The 15,779-nt window shown below is 40.4% G+C and overlaps 1 protein-coding gene and 1 pseudogene across 5 annotated transcripts in view; both read right to left on the bottom strand.

Moving 5' to 3' along the window:
* SGCG (sarcoglycan gamma) overlaps positions 1-15,779 on the bottom strand; it is a 164,655-nt gene that overhangs the window by 67,942 nt on the left and 80,934 nt on the right. For all 5 annotated transcript variants that reach the window (NM_001378244.1, XM_047430542.1, NM_001378245.1 and 2 more), the window contains one exon: positions 6,504-6,591. In NM_001378244.1, coding sequence (NP_001365173.1) covers positions 6,504-6,591 — 88 coding nt within the window. The remainder of the gene's footprint in view (positions 1-6,503; positions 6,592-15,779) is intronic.
* On the bottom strand, positions 9,842-11,089 carry TATDN2P3 (TatD DNase domain containing 2 pseudogene 3; annotated as a pseudogene).

The raw sequence follows: 15,779 nt of genomic DNA, 5'->3' as shown, positions 1-15,779 counted from the left end.
ATCAAAAACGTGGGCAAAGGATATGAACAAACACTTCTCAAAAGAAGACATTTTTGCAGCTAACAGACACATGAAAAAATGCTCATCATCACTGGTCATCAGAGAAATGCAAATCAAAACCACAAAGAGATACCATTTCACACCAGTTGGAATGGCGATCACTAACAAGTCAGGAAACAACAGGTACTGGAGAGGATGTGGAGAAATAGGAATGCTTTTACACCGTTGGTGGGAGTGTAAACTAGTTCAACCATTGTGGAAGAGAGTGTGGCGATTCCTCAGGGATCTAGAACTAGAAATTCCATTTGACCCAGCGATCCCATTACTGGGTATATACCCAAAAGATTGTAAGTCATGCTACTACAAAGACACATGCACACCTATGTTTATTGTGGCACTGTTCACAATAGCAAAGACTTGGAACTAACCCAAATGTCCATCAATGATAGACTGGATTAAGAAAATGTGGCACATATACACCATGGAATACTATGCAGCCATAAAAAAGGATGAGTTCATGTCCTTTGTAGAGACATGGATGAAGCTGGAAACCATCATTCTGAGCAAACTATTGCAAGGACAGAAAACCAAACACTGCATGTTGTCACTCATAGGTGTGAATTGAACAATGAGAACCCTTGGACACAGGAAGGGGAACATCACACACTGGGGCCTGTCGTGGGGTGGGGGAATGGGGGAGGGACAGCATTAGGGGAGATACCTAATGTACATGACGAGTTAATGGGTGCAGCAAAGCAACATGGCACATGTATACATACGTAACAAACCTGCATGTTTTGCACATGTACCCTAGAAATTAAAGTATATAAAAAAAAGTTTTTCATGTTAGTTTTCACTTTTTTCTTGTATTTCCTTGAGTAACTTAATAATAAACACTTTGAATTATTTATCTGGTATTTCAAAGATTTCATTGGTTTAGATCCACTGCTGGAGACTCAATGTGAGCTTTTGCAAGTTTTATAAAACCCTGTTTTTTCATATGGCCAGAATTATTTCTCTGGTTCCTTCTCATTTGGGTAACTATTTCTTCTAATTAATTTTGCATTTATTTTTTGATTCTGCTGGGATTTTTAAAATTCTTTTTTGCACCTTGAGGATATGACTTTAATATTTATAGGTTATTGTCAACTAGCTTTGGCTATGGGTACTTTCAGTGGTGAAGAGTCTGTATGAGTTCCTTGGTTATAGAGAATCTGTGTGATGGCTTTCTAAGATGTTGGTTGTAGTAGTGACATGCTGGGTGTGTGAGCAGGTTCACTGTCTCCTGTGGGGAGCTTCCCATTTGGTTCATGGTGTAAGCTGCTGCCCACTGCTTCTTTCAAAGTGTGCTTTCTTTCAGCTTTTTAAATTAAGTTCCTGTGTTGTTTCTTGGAAGCAAGTTCACAGCATAATTCTCTACAAACTGTTATGTCTTTCCAAGTAGGAAAGGCATGCTAATAATGCCTCTAATCTTCCATCTTGGAAAAAAACCCTTAAAACCCCGACTCTTAAACAACCAGGTCTTTTGTGAACTAACTGAGTGAAAACTTACTCATGACCAAGGGGATGGCACTAAACCAATCATGAGGGATCTACCTGTATGACCCAAACACCTCCCATCAGGCCCCAACTCCTACATTGGAGGTTACGTTTCAACATGCAACTTGTAGGGGACAAATATTCAAACCATATCACTCTTCCCTTGCTCCCCCAAATCTCACATTCTTCTCACATTGTAAAATACAATCATCCCTTCCCAAAAGTCCCCCAAAGTCTTAACTCATTCCAGCATGAAGTCCAACGTCCTAAGTCTCATCTGAGATTCATCTCTTTCCACTTTGAGTTTATAAAATACAAACAAGTTATTTACTTCCAAGATATGATGGTAGTAGAAGCATTGGGTAAATGTTGCCATTCCAAAAGGGAGAAATCAGTCAAAGGAAAGGGGCAATAAGATGGCACCTCAAGGTGACCAGCACCACTCCTGTGGCTTTACAGGGTGCAGTCCCAGTGGCTTCTCTCATGGGTTGGAGTTGAGTGCCGGTGGCTTTTCCAGGCTCAAGATGCAAGTTTCTGGTAGCTCGACGATTCTGGGGTCTGGAGGGCAGTGGCTCCCTTCCCATAGCTCCACTAGGCAATGCCCCAGTAGGGACTTTGGGGCTTTCACCCCCACATTTCCTCTCAGCCCTGTTCTAGTACAGTATCTTTGTGGGGCCTGTGTCCCTGCAGCATGTTTCAGACTGGACATCCAGGCTTTTCTACACGTCTTCTGAAACCTAGGTGCAAGCTGCCAAGCTTCCTCTTGCATTCTGCGGGCCTGGAGACTTAACACCATGTGGAAGCTACCAAGGCTTATGGCTTGCGCCTTCCACAGCGATGGCCTGAGTAGTATCTGGGGCCCTTTGAGGCACAGCTGGAGCTAGAGCAGCTGTGATGTGGGAAGCAGTGTCCCTGAAACCATGGTTTCCTCTTAGGCCTCTGTGCCCGTGATGGAATGGGCTGTCACGAAGATCTCTGAAATGTCTTCAGGGCCTTTCCCCCATTGTCTTGGATATTAGCACTTGGCTCCCTTTTAGCCATGCTGAGCTCTCTAGTAAGTGATTGCTCTGTAGCCTGCTTGAATTCTTTCTCTACCACAGTGCCAATCAGCAAATTTTCCAAACTTTTCCACTCTGCTTCCCTTTTAAATATAAATTCAAATTTTAAAGTTTTTTTTTTTGCTCTTATATCTGATTGTAGGTTATTAGAAGCAGCCAGACTGCTTCTTGAATACTTTGCTGCTTAGAAATTTCTTCTGCAGTACACGAAGTCATCACTCTTAAATTCAAACTTCCATAGGTTCCTAGGTTGTGGACACAATGCAGCTAAGCTCTTTCCTAGGGCATTACACAGGTGATGTTTATTCCAGGTCCCAATAACGTCCTCATTTCCATCTGAGACCTCCTCAGCCTGATCTTCACTGCCCACATTTCTAACAGCATTTTGGTCACAGCCACTTACTAAGTCTCTAAGAAGTCCCAAACTTTCTGTCATCTTCCTGTCTGAGCCCTCCAAACTCTTCTAACTTCTGCCTGTTACCCAGTTCCAAAGCTGCTTCCACACCTTCAGGTATCTTTATAGCAATGGCTCACTCCTCAGTACCAATTTTCTGTGTTACTCGATTCTTACACTGCTATAAAGAAATAACTGAGGATGGGTAATTTATAAAGAAAAGAGGTTTAATTGGCTCACAATTCTGCAGGCTGTACAAACATGGCTTCAGCGTATGCTTCTAGTGAGGGCCTCAGGAAGCTTCCTATCATTCCAGAAGGCAAAGAAGGAGCAGGTGCATCACGTGGTAAGAGTAGGAGCAAGAGAGAAGAGAGAGGTCCCAGACTCTTTTAAACAACCAGATGTCATGTGAACTAATGGAGTGATAACCCACTCTTCACCAAGGGTATGGTGCAAGCCGTTTGAGAGGGATCCACCCTCATGATACAATACCATCCATTAGGCCCCACCTTCCACATTGGGAATCACATTTCACCATGACATTTGGAGGGGACGCACATCCAAATCATGTCAGAATTTAATTGGGATTTTTGGTTTTGACTGTATTGAATGCAAATTGTTTTCAGTGGTTTTGTAGAAAACACTTATTCACTTAATTAAATGAGATTAATATGGCTAGTTCACATAAATTACATTTTAATACCCAAATTGGCAAAATTTAACTTCTTCCAGGAAATATGAGACTAGAAGGGTTGCAACTGTGGGAAGTCATGTACGGAAGAAAACCTTGGATTTGGTGAGCTTGGTGCTATTTCCTAGCTCAAGGTTCTCAATATAACAGAGACTTTCCAACTAAAGATTTACTAGAAATCACTAATTAAATCACTTTCTCAGGCATGAGACACCAAGGTTAAAACTAGAGATTGAGGCGAACAGTTCAAACCAAAGAGATTTTGATGTGTAACTTATTTTATTTTTATTTTTAGAGATGGTCTGACTTTCTCACCCAAGCTGGAGTGTAATGGCGTGATCATAGCTCACTGAAGCCCTGAACTCCTAGGCTTAAGCAGTCTTCCTGCTGCAGCCTCCCAAAGTGCTGGGATTACGGGAGTGAGCCACTGACCCAGCCTTTTTAAAAAAAGAAAAACTAAACAAAACAAAACCTTTAAAACCCCTGGTAATTTCTTGGTGACAAAAATGAAATGGAAACTATATTTGAAGCAACTAGAACAGTTACTAGCATGCCATAATTTCAAGAAATCTGATTAGAGAGGAGGGCCAGTGGAAACAGCTGGCTGAGAGAAGTAAGCCCTCAGTCTTTCCTGTTTTGACTTCTCTACTAACTAGCTATGTGCTCTTGAGCAAATCTGCTTTTTAGTCCTTCAGTTTTTTCATCTATGAAATGAGAGGCAGGTTTATATTATATCTAAATTCCCTTGCATAATATACGAAAATCCACACCCAACAAAAAGATAAACAGAGGAATGTGTACTTGTACTAATTAACTTTTTTGTTTGTTTGTTTTGTTTTGTTTTTTTTGAGACACAGTCTCACTCTGTCGCCCAGGCTGGAGTGCAGTGATGCGATCTTGGCTCACTGCAAGCTCCGCCTCCCGGGTTCACGCCATTCTCCTGCCTCAGCCGCCCAAGTAGCTGAGACTACAGGCGACCGCCACCACGCCCGGCTAATTTTTAGTATTTTTAGTAGAGACGTGGTTTCACTGTGTTAGCCAGGATGGTCTTGATCTCCTGACCTCATGATCCACCCACCTCGGCCTCCCAAAGTGCTGGGATTACAGGCGTGAGCCACCGTGCCCGGCCGCTAATTAATTTTTATAGGAATATAAGAAGATTCTTCTACTTTTATAGCTTCTAAGAAATAATTACATAGTCTTTATTATTATTACTTGATAGCATATAAGGTAGCCCATAGTCATTCAACAAATATTTGTTGGAATGAATGAGAAAAAATGGGCAAAAATTCCTCAAACACTTGAAAGCTATAGGCAGTTGAAGATTTTCAAGAAATGATGGTAAAGATAAATGATAATACTGTATAATTTATCAAGAAAATATAATTTGTTTTAAATACATCTTAAGAACGTATATGCAGGAAAAACTGGAGTTCATCTCCTGATCCACAGAGAATTTCACTGGACTTAGTTATTAAACAAAACTTCCAGGCCAAAGAGAGATACAAGTTATGATCAAGAATAAGTTATAAAGCAGAGGATAAAGTACAGAACATCTTGTATTAGTATAAGAAAAAGGAATCATCAGATTAACATAAGGCTGTAGTTTCCCATGTAACATTATTCTGTTTTGTAAAAGTACCATTAAAAAGAGAGACATTGGAAGTTTGTGTTGGCAGTACACCTCTCATTTATTTTCTGATAATGACAAGGGCCATCCAGTTTCCTAGACTTAGCAAATCTATCCAATGTTAATAGTATAGTGAATATATATATCTTCGTTATTCTTATTCTCTTTTTTTCAAACAAAGGGTCTCTTCCACCACAGAATTGAATTCCTAGGCTCGAGTGATCCTCCCTGTCTCAGACTCCCCAGTAGCTGCGACTACAGACGTGCACCACCACACCTGGCTAATTTTTAAAATTATTTTTTTAGAGATGTTGCCCAGGCTGATCTTGATCACCTAGATTCAAGCAATCCTTCCATCCTGGCCTCCCAAAGTGCTGGGATTACAGGGGTGAGCCACCATGCCTGGCCTGCATTCCTTCTTACCAGCTGGTTTGCTCTTCTGATATTGCTTTCATCTGTATTTCTTCTTGCTGACATTTTTCTCCCTTTGCAGGATTCCATGTGACCTCACTCCCATGTGACCTTATCCTCTGGCCTTAGTTGATTGGATGGGTGTACATAGCTGACTGACCCAAAGGAATGTGGTGGGACAGATGAATTGGGCTAATTAGAGTACTTTGTGGATTTAGAATTTGCGTAATTGAAGACTAAACTGTTTGATGTTGATAACTACAGCCGAGCAGGTAAGAATCAGGGAGGCCCTATAGGTTCTGTACAGTGAGAAGTGATACAGCCAAGTGAAAATGGTGGCAAAGATAAACTGGAAAGGAGGAGAATGGAGCACATGGGGAGGAGAGAAAAGAGAAGAAAGAACGGGGAGGGAACTGAATGTATTCGTGGCTCTCAGCCACTGGTCTCTGTGCTCTTTGAGGCCAGCTACTTGGGTTCCTTCCCTTTGGTTGCTGCAAGAGTCTTTGGTAACCCACAATAAACATTTTGTTTCTTGTACTAGCTTTAATTGTCCTCTATTTCTTGGAACAAAAATAACTCTAATCAAAGCACTTCAGGCTGTCCCCTCACCCCCCACCCCACTCTGTGGTGCTAGTCTGTGGTCAACACAGCATGATATTTAGAAAATTCATATTTTGTTCATAAGTAGCTTTGATTTCTTTAGAAGAAAAAACAATGCATTCATTTAGCACTATTCATGGACAACATGCATGCAAAGCACCATGATGAAGCTGGACTCACCGACTTTTAACCTGCCTGTGACCTCCCCTTCTGAGTTGCGCGCATTTACAGTCACATTCTGGGTTGATTGTAGAAGCAGAGATGAGTCCTAGAAAGAGATTTATAAAATTTGCAAAATAGGTGCTGTTTAAAATGATTATATCTTTATAATTCTGTGTAAATTTAGGATTTTTATAAAATTATTTATCCATTGTTACAGATCCTGGAAATCCTATAAATTTGTGGCTAAGACAATTAAAAATTCCTGAATCATATTTTTTTAACATTTTGAGTATTTATTGAAAGATAAAAGAATAACAATCATAAAATGAGCTCCAAACGCAAGATAGGGATAGAAAAAAATATGAATTATTTAGACAAATATGCAATTTAACAGAGCTATATGGTCACAGCTATGTCAAGGAAAGACACCTACAACAGTGGGGTTCTAGGTAATAGAAATGCCATATACTTTTTCCTGCTACTCTCTATTTCCATATTTTTGTAATACATTTGTGTTTTTATAATGTGTAAAGTAAACTTTATCAAAATAAAAAAATCTATGTATACAGCAGAGTTATAATTACAGACACATTTGTGGTATTGACTGCTTTGTTCTTGCTCTCCAGATAAAAAATAAACTAAGCATTTAGCTTAAGACATTAGAAAATACACAATAAAATCGACATCAGAGAACAGAAAGAAAAATAAATTTCAAAGCACAATTTTATGTATCAGTAAACAATAGTTTTGAAAAAGCACATGCAGTCTGAGTTGATTATTTAAAACAAACAGAATTATACCTAAACAAAAAAATTTTTACTTTTTTCCCCACTGCAAGCTACTTTAATTCTTTGAACAATTTTTCCATGCAGGTAAACTATTACCATATTTTCCTATTAAGAAATATTTTCAACAGATTTTTTCTACAATAAAATTTACTAAAAACATTTGGTTCATTAATTTTTGTCTATATGAATGCTGTCCATTGTGGCTTTTGACAGTCTGAGTTTTCTTTGTTGATCACATTTCTACCAAGATCAATTTTCCTGAGTCAAATTTTGTATATCCAGATTTTGCCAATATTTGACTCTACTATTGATTTAAAAAAAATCAATTTTACCATGTACGTTTTTCCTTCTGTTGCTTTTATTTTGTTTGGGTTTTTTAAAAATCACATTTTTTTCGCTTTACTTGTCTCAAAACTTTTATAATAAGCAGGTATGAATTTTGAAGTTAGATATGAATAAAAACCAACTGAAAAAGCAAATTCCTCTGTCTCCCAAGACAAAATGGGCAGTTTGCTTCTTTTGAGCTTTAAAGGTAGAAATAGCTGCCTTTCTAAAATTTAAGTGAAGCGAAATGTTGACATGCCCTGAAAGGACTGCTAAGGTTGGGGGAGCCTGTTAATGGGCCTTGAGAGGCTCTGTGACTCCAGACTAATATCCCAGGGACCACTAAGAGTAAACTGAATTTCTAGATTACTGGCTACCTTCACAACTCTGATGTCTCCAGGATGGGAGGGTAGTCACACCAAATGCCATAAAAATAAATGCTAAATAATAATTCTTTGAGGTTAAATGGAATATCTATCACTTAAGTAGAAAACTATTTACAAAGTGTCCCAAATTTTGCACATTTGCATTGCAAGATTTTACTAGTAACATGAGTAGGTGAACTGTTCTTTACCTCACTAATGGAATAAATAAATGAAAATTGAGGTTTGTTTTTTTTTTTTTTTCTTTTCTGTGACAGAGTCTGGCTCTGTCGCCCAGGCTGGAGTGCACTGGCACGATCTCGGCTCACTGCAAGCTCCGCCTCCCGGGTTCACGCCATTCTCCTGCCTCAGCCTCCCAAGTAGGTGGGACTACAGGTGCCCGCCACCACGCCCCCTAATTTTTGGTAGTTTTAGTAGAGACGGGGTTTCACCGTGTTAGCCAAGATGGTCTCGATTTCCTGACCTCGTGATCCGCCCTCCTCGGCCTCCCAAAGTGCTGGGATTACAGGCATCAGCCACCGAACCCGGCCTTTTTTTTTTTCTTTTTGAGACGGAGTCTAGTTCCGCCGCCCAGGCTGGAGTGCAGTGGCGCCATCTGGGCTCGCCGGAAGCTCCGCCTCCCGGGTTCCCGCCATTCTCCTGCCTCAGCCTCCGGAAGAGCTGGGACTACAGGCGCCTGCTGCCACGCCGGCTAATTTTTTTTGTTGTAGAGAAGAGTTTCACTGCGTTAGCCAAGATGGTCTCCATCTCCTGACCTCGTGATCCGCCCGCCTCCACCTCCCAAAGGTCTGGGATTACAGGCTGAGCCACCGCGCCTGGCCAGATTGTGCTTTTTGATTTAGGCTACTCTTGATAATACTACACTCAGAACTACAATGCTCATTCCTTTTCCTGAAGAAAAAAAGATAAATTACAGCAAGGTTCTCTCCTGCATGTTATAAACACCGCAGAGTGTAACACTTAAATTTGCCACACAAAAATGCAGGGAGAGAGGAGTAGGTTGGTTTTCCATCTAAAATTAAAAAAATTTTTTTTTGATAGAAATTTTTTTTGGAAAGGAAAACTCGGTGTGTAGATCTCGCTTATCTTTTTGAGTGTATACTTACATTTTTTATTTAAAAAATGTTTTTTAGAGGCAGGGTCTCACTATGTTGCCTAGGCTGGTCTCAAACTCCTGGGCTCAAGTGATCCACCCGCTTTGGCCTTCCAAAGTGCTGGGATTACAGGCGTGAGCCACTACATCTGGCCTATTTTTTGTTAAAAAACTTTTTTTTTTTTTTTTTTTTAAGAGATGGGAGTTTCACTCTGTTGCCAGGCTGGAGTCCAGTGGTGTGAGTATACAGTTCACTGTAGCCTGAGACTCGTGGATTCAAGTGATCCTCCCACCTCAGCCTCCCAAGTAGCTGGAATTACAGGTGTGTGCCACCACACCCAGCTGATTTTTTTTTTTTTTTTTAAATAGAGATGAGTTTTAACTATGTTGCCCAGGCTGGTCTTGAATTCCTGGGCTCAAGTGATCCACCTGCCTCAGCGTCCCAAAGTGCTGGAATTACAGGTGTGAGCCACCATGCCCGACCGATTTTTAAATTTTTAAATAGAATTCCTATAATATACGAATATAATATACAAATCACCTACCTCACTTTTAAAATTCTACATTTTTTTAAAGACAAGTAGAAGGGTGACTTTATTCACCAAGTGATCAAAAGCAGGCTGCAGAGGACAGGGATTTAGATTGGGAAACTCTTTGTATTCTATCAAACTCTCTTCTTTACTGGCTACCTTAAGGCATTTTTGCTGGGAAGAAAAACCTTAATAACATCAAGGGCAGTTTACCTTAGCCTTCCTCCCATCCCATTGTACCCCACCCTACCAGCCAGAAGCAGAAGTCTTACGAAAAGGTTTTGAGGAAAATATCCTGTCCTGGTTTACTCCATGCCAACGAATTCTTCAAACACATCCTTGACCCGGGACATAGAGTTCAAATCTAGTTCATGTGTTTTGTCAGGCTACTGGTCTCCTTTCTTAGGAAGACTCCTGACTGTGCCTTTTCTGTTTAAAGATGGTAGAGGTGACAGGTGTTCTCCTGCAAGATGGCCAAGGTGTGGGAAAGCAACAGATCTTTGATTCTGGCAATCTCTCGCACCGTATGCAGGGCCAGGCCTGGGTGGGCATACTGGCAACGGCTTTTGGAAACCTAGTGAGGGAGGAAGAAGGGAGCATTGGTTTCTACAATAATTCTCTCTAATGGGATCTTTTTCACAGTTTCTCGGGCTTGCTCAGCAGAAGAGTAAGTCAGAATTGCCATGAAGCCCACATACAGGTTGGGAAAGTGGCTCAACAGGGGCTCGATGACTGGGTAACTGCCAGTGAAGCAATGCTGGTACATCTTGTGGTCAGAGGGCACATATTTTTTCAAGATGCCCAGTAGGTCTTCATCGGCTTCTCGGCAGTGGATCATCATGGGCTTCTTTAAGAGAGACGGCCAGCTGCAGCTATCTTTTAAATACCTTCTGCTGCTCTGGGACATGTGTGGTGCACATGTTGGAGTAATCCAAGCCCATTTCTCCAAATGCCACAGACTTGGGGTGTTGTAAGGCTTTTAAAATACTTCTTTCTTGATAGTCATTATAATAATGGGCAAAATGAGGGCAACAGTCAAAGGCTATCAGCCAAAGGCTGATCATCTTTCAACGGATGCTCCCACAGCCTGTCCCTTAGGTTTTGAGGATTGTCGAAGCAAGAAATGCAACCCTGAAATTCCTTGGGGAAGGTGTTGCTATACATTTTTCTGAATTTGGTAAAGGTGCCTTTGAAAGGCAGCCTGGAATACAGCAAGTCCAAGTGACAGTGGGTATCAACAATGAAACCCTGTTGCTTTGGCTGCCAGAGGGTACTTGGCAGAAAGCTAGATGCATGTCCTCCATAAGGACGTTGTAATGTCTCCTCTTGATACACTCCCTCCTCCTTCGCATCTGCTTCCACATTTCTGGAGTAGTGAAATAAGGAGGAATTCTTGGATCTGCCTTCCTCTGTCATCTTCAGGTCTCTGGACATGTTTTGGGCACTCACTGGAAAACTGGTGGAATAATCACTCAGGAAGCTCTGGTGGCTGCTCCTCTCATTCTGGAATATGTTGTTGTTGCTGCTGCTGCTGCTGAAGCTGCTCTTCCCAGCCTGGAATGTGTTACTGCTGCTGCCCAAGGAGGGATACCAAGAAGACTTGGTATTGCTGAACCAAGAGCTGGTGTAGTCATGCCAAGGACTATAATGAGGTGGAAAAGTGGTATAGTCAGTGGCGTAGTACAGAGGCTCTGACACTCCAGGAAGACACAGTGAGAATGGCTTCTCTTCAGAGAATACGACTGTGGTTCCACCTACATCAGATCAGTCACACCCTAAAGAGGGGCGCTCAATCACCATCTTGTCTTTGTGCTTTTGGAACATTGAATGGGAGCTCTAGTCTTCCGGGAAAATTTAAAGGTGGAGAGTTTTTTCACAAATGACTACTTTGGTTGCTAAGTCGCTTTTGGATTATTGAATGGGGGTTATAATCACCCAGAAAATTTAAAGGCGGAGAGCTTTTTTCATAAATGACTCTACTTTGGTTATTAGGTCGCCCCTTACTGAATTTCTTAGGAGGATTAACAATCACCCTCTTGTCACAGGAGCTGCTCATCTCTGGGGCTGACTCTTTCTCTTTTTGAGGAGCAAAGATAGTGGCATTCCTGGCTCGTCCTTCTCCGTAGTAGAGACACTCTCCTAGGCTTGATTGTGAACTAGTGACAGCCTCTTCCTTTCCTTTTGGCATGTCATCTCCCAGGATCTCCTGGAGAACCCTCACATAAGTCAATTAAGCGTCGCTATCTTTAGGTCTACCCTACCTGTTCTGGAACTTGTTTGGTTCCTCAGTTTCATTTTGACCCTCACTTCCAGCTGCAAATTGAGGGTTCATGAAATTATAGGAGCTACGTTTGGAATTAATTTTAAGGCTGTAGATGCCCTCCTCCAGAGAAGCCATTTCTTTTAGAAAGGGGCTGGCAGAATGCATTGGGGATCACAAGGACGAAAGGAACCCCAAACGCTCCAAATTAGGCAGTCTTTGTAGCCAGTCCTAATCACGCCAGTGGCTGAGGAATGGGAGGAGAAGGAGGAGAAAGAATTTCTGTGGCAGGATGAACCTTAGGAAAAACCTTGGTGTGCAGGCCACAAAGTACTCCTTTTGGGCTTTCAGGCCTTTGGGGCCTCTGTCCCCTTCCAAACCACGTTACTGAGCTCCCGGGGCACCTGTGTTTGCTGGGGAATCCTACCTAAGTGCCACTCCAGTGGTACTTTTCCGGGTGCTGATGGGCCCCAGAGCTGGAGGGCCTTCACGCCACTCCGGCGCCTCAGGAATGTTTCCTCCTTTTTTCAACTCTTTATCACAGTTCTTGGTGTTCTAGAGATGCCAAAGCCCTTCCATGATGATTTCAAAGCGCCTTGGAGAAGTCGTAACGATCCAGGCCCTGTATGGTGTCTGAGCCCACAACATACTCCTAAGGCTGCCCCAAATGGTCACCTGAATCATATTGTTAAGGAAGTAGATGTATTAACTTTTCTCATAAAATGTGAGAATCCCATGGGTTTACAGTGCTTGTGCGCACTGGTTACAATGTGTCAAGGCAGTTCACAAGGTAAAGATCTAAAACAACCACGTTTTAACCAGTGCTTTTGCTTTTTCAAGGAATTAAAATTCTATTTTTAGGGATTATTTATGTCCAGGACATGATATACTTTAAGAAGATGAATCCGAGAAATAGTTAACTTTTCTATAAGAAATACCATGTTACTTTAAAAACACAAAGGCTTCTCATAATTTCAAATGAATTAAGCAACATTTTTGGATGGCTCTGTTTTTTGCACTTTTTGTTGAAGATAAAGTGGCTTTATGAGCACAAAAGTGTTATACTTTCTTTGTTATCGTAATCCTGATACGATACAGTGATCCTGATACGGCGGTTTTGTTTATACTTTCTCTGTTATCGTAATCCTGATATGATATGTAATCCTGATACGGTGGTGTTGTTTTAGAGAAGATTGCTTGTTTTTATATACACAATTTTCTTCAAAAGGAATTCACTAATTTTGCTGTTGGATGCAGGTAGGTTTACGGTTCACTCAGAGGAAACCAAATATCTTCCAGAGTGGTAGGGAATTATGTGATGTTTCAAAAGGAAAATAGTCTTAAGAGCCCTTGGGAGCTCTATCTAGGATGTCAGAAATTCTCCAACTAGCTTTGTGGAAGCAGATGGACCTATCAGCTTCTTATGGTATCCAATGATGTCACCTTAACACTTGTTTCTGCAATGTTAGAAAATAATTAGCATGATAATGAGTTAACACTTTATCAATTAAATTGAGCATTGATCCTTTCATTTTATCCTGTATTTTATAAAGTAGGCACCATTATTGCTAATATAGGGATGAGGAAATTGAGATCCCAGGGAATAAATTATAGCTGCCTCAAAGCCACACACAGCTGCAGATGACAGTTCCGTGGTGGAGCCAATCTTTAGATGCCCACTTCCAGGCTCTCTCCACCATTCTCCTGGAATGGGAGGACAGGGTTCTGGTGAGAGCAGTGAGATCCACTCCCAAGCGCAGAGAAAGTAAGCTGTTCTGGGATTCACTTCCTGTCATCTAATCCAACAGTCACTTTCAAACCCTTTTCTTTTTCTGCTTTCCACGACAGGGGTTGCCTGCTTTCTCAGACTGTCTTGAGGCTAGGGGTACCCACGGGACACAATTCTGGTCAATGGGAGATAAGCTGAGATCTGCAGAGGGTGGAGCTCAGGGTTTCTAGGCAAGCTTTTGCATTCCTTGTGAAAAAGGCACATGCACCAGCACTGCACATTTCCCGGCTGTGTGTCTTGGATGTGGCCTCATAACTGTCTAGTGATTATGAGGGGCAGGCGGGTGGCTGGTAGATACTCTGGCCTTAACATGGTTTAGTGCTGAACCAAAGCTGCAGCTGCCCCCTCCAGCTTCCTGTTATGTGAGACTAAAAGCTCCTATTAGTTTATGCCACGGCTAGCTGGGTATTCTGTGTTCACACGGTAAAGCTCTTTTAATTGACAGAGCAGAATTGACTCTGTATCTATATTACCAACAAAATTGTATTCATAACTGCTATAATGAAACCTCTTATATTGAATTATACTTGCTCTTTAATCTATATTTTTAAGAAGTACCTTAAAACAATCAACGTGTACATTTTTAATAAAAACTGATGTTTTTTGTGAAGTCCAGAGACTTTATTTTCCATTTTCTAGGTAAGAAAACTGAAGTTTATAGATTGTGAATGTGATTTCCAGGTTTTTGTTTTTGTTTTTTGACTTTTTAAAACTATTTTTATTGTATTAAAATATAAATATACTATGTATGTAAGTTATAGATAGCACAAAATTTACCATTTCAACCATTTTTAAGTGTATAGTAGATTGACATTAGGTACATTCACAGTATTGTACAACCACCACTATATCATTTCTAAAATTTTACATAAGGGATTTTCAGTTTTTATCATTAGCTAATGATGCCTTTTAGAAAAATTTTACGCCATTTAGAGAATGACAGCAAGGTATAAGGAGAACATTTTATTTTTCTATTCATCTCAATTGAACTCTGAATGTACCTGTTTGAATACAGCTGTTGTGTCAACACTACACCTTAGGGAGTAGGTGAAAGAATCATAGAACGTAGAACTTTTTATTACTTTTCTCAACAGTGCATGACATATAGAAGGAGCTGTGAAAGAAAGAGGTGTATAAAAAGACCATTAATAATGTAAGGGGTAATTGGTATGGCCCAAAGATAGATCAAAACTGCTATAGGAGTTATCAATACCCTATGAGATTGATGTTTTAAGATACTTTTTGAAAATGTAGATTAGAGGGCAAGTACAATTCACCACTTCATTTATATACATAATTAACTACTTCCAACTTGAACCTAATATGGGAATGGCAGAAACTAATTTAATCATTGAAGCAGCAATCCTATATCAAGAATTCTGTCAAACAGTATGTGGAAAAATTACATTTATTGGCATAAAGTTATTTGTAATATTTCCTTACCATTCTTTGAATGTCTGTGGGATTCATAGCAGTGTCCCTTCTACCATCACTGATATTGATAATTTGTGCCCTCTCTTTTTAAAATATTCAGTCTGGTTCAAGGTTTATCAATTTTTATTGATCTTCTAAAAGAATCCATTTTTGGTTTCATTAATTTCCTCTATTGTTTTATGTTTTCTATTTTGTTGATTTCTTCTCTCATCTTTCTTTTCTTCTTTGACTTTTGGTTTATCATGAAGAGATGCTGAATTTTATCAAATGCTTTTTCTGCATCTATCGAGATGACCAAATGGTTTTTGTCCTTCATTCTATTGATGTGATGTATGGTGTTTATTGTTTTGCATATGTTGACTCATCCTGGCATTCTTGGGATAAATGTGTTGTATTTGGTTTGCTAGTATTTTGTTGAGGATTTTTACATTTGTGTTCATCAGAAATATTGGTCTGTAGTTTTCTTTTTTGTTTTGTTCTTGTTTGGTTTTGATATCATGGCTATGCTGGTCTTGTGTAATGAGTTAGGAAGAATCTCCTCTGCTTCAAGTTTTTGAAAAAGTTTGAGAAGGACTGGTATTAATTCTTCTTTAAATGTTTGGTAGAATTCAGCGGTGAAGCCTTCTGGTCCTGGACTTTCCTTTATTGGGGAGACTTTTTATTACTAATTCGATGTTGTTACTCATTATTGGT

Source organism: Homo sapiens, chromosome 13 (genome assembly GCF_000001405.40).
Source record: "Homo sapiens chromosome 13, GRCh38.p14 Primary Assembly".
In the NCBI taxonomy this organism is placed as follows: domain Eukaryota; kingdom Metazoa; phylum Chordata; class Mammalia; order Primates; family Hominidae; genus Homo; species Homo sapiens.
The sequence above is the reverse complement of the archived record's forward strand: the minus strand, read 5'-3'. Positions and strand labels throughout refer to the sequence as shown.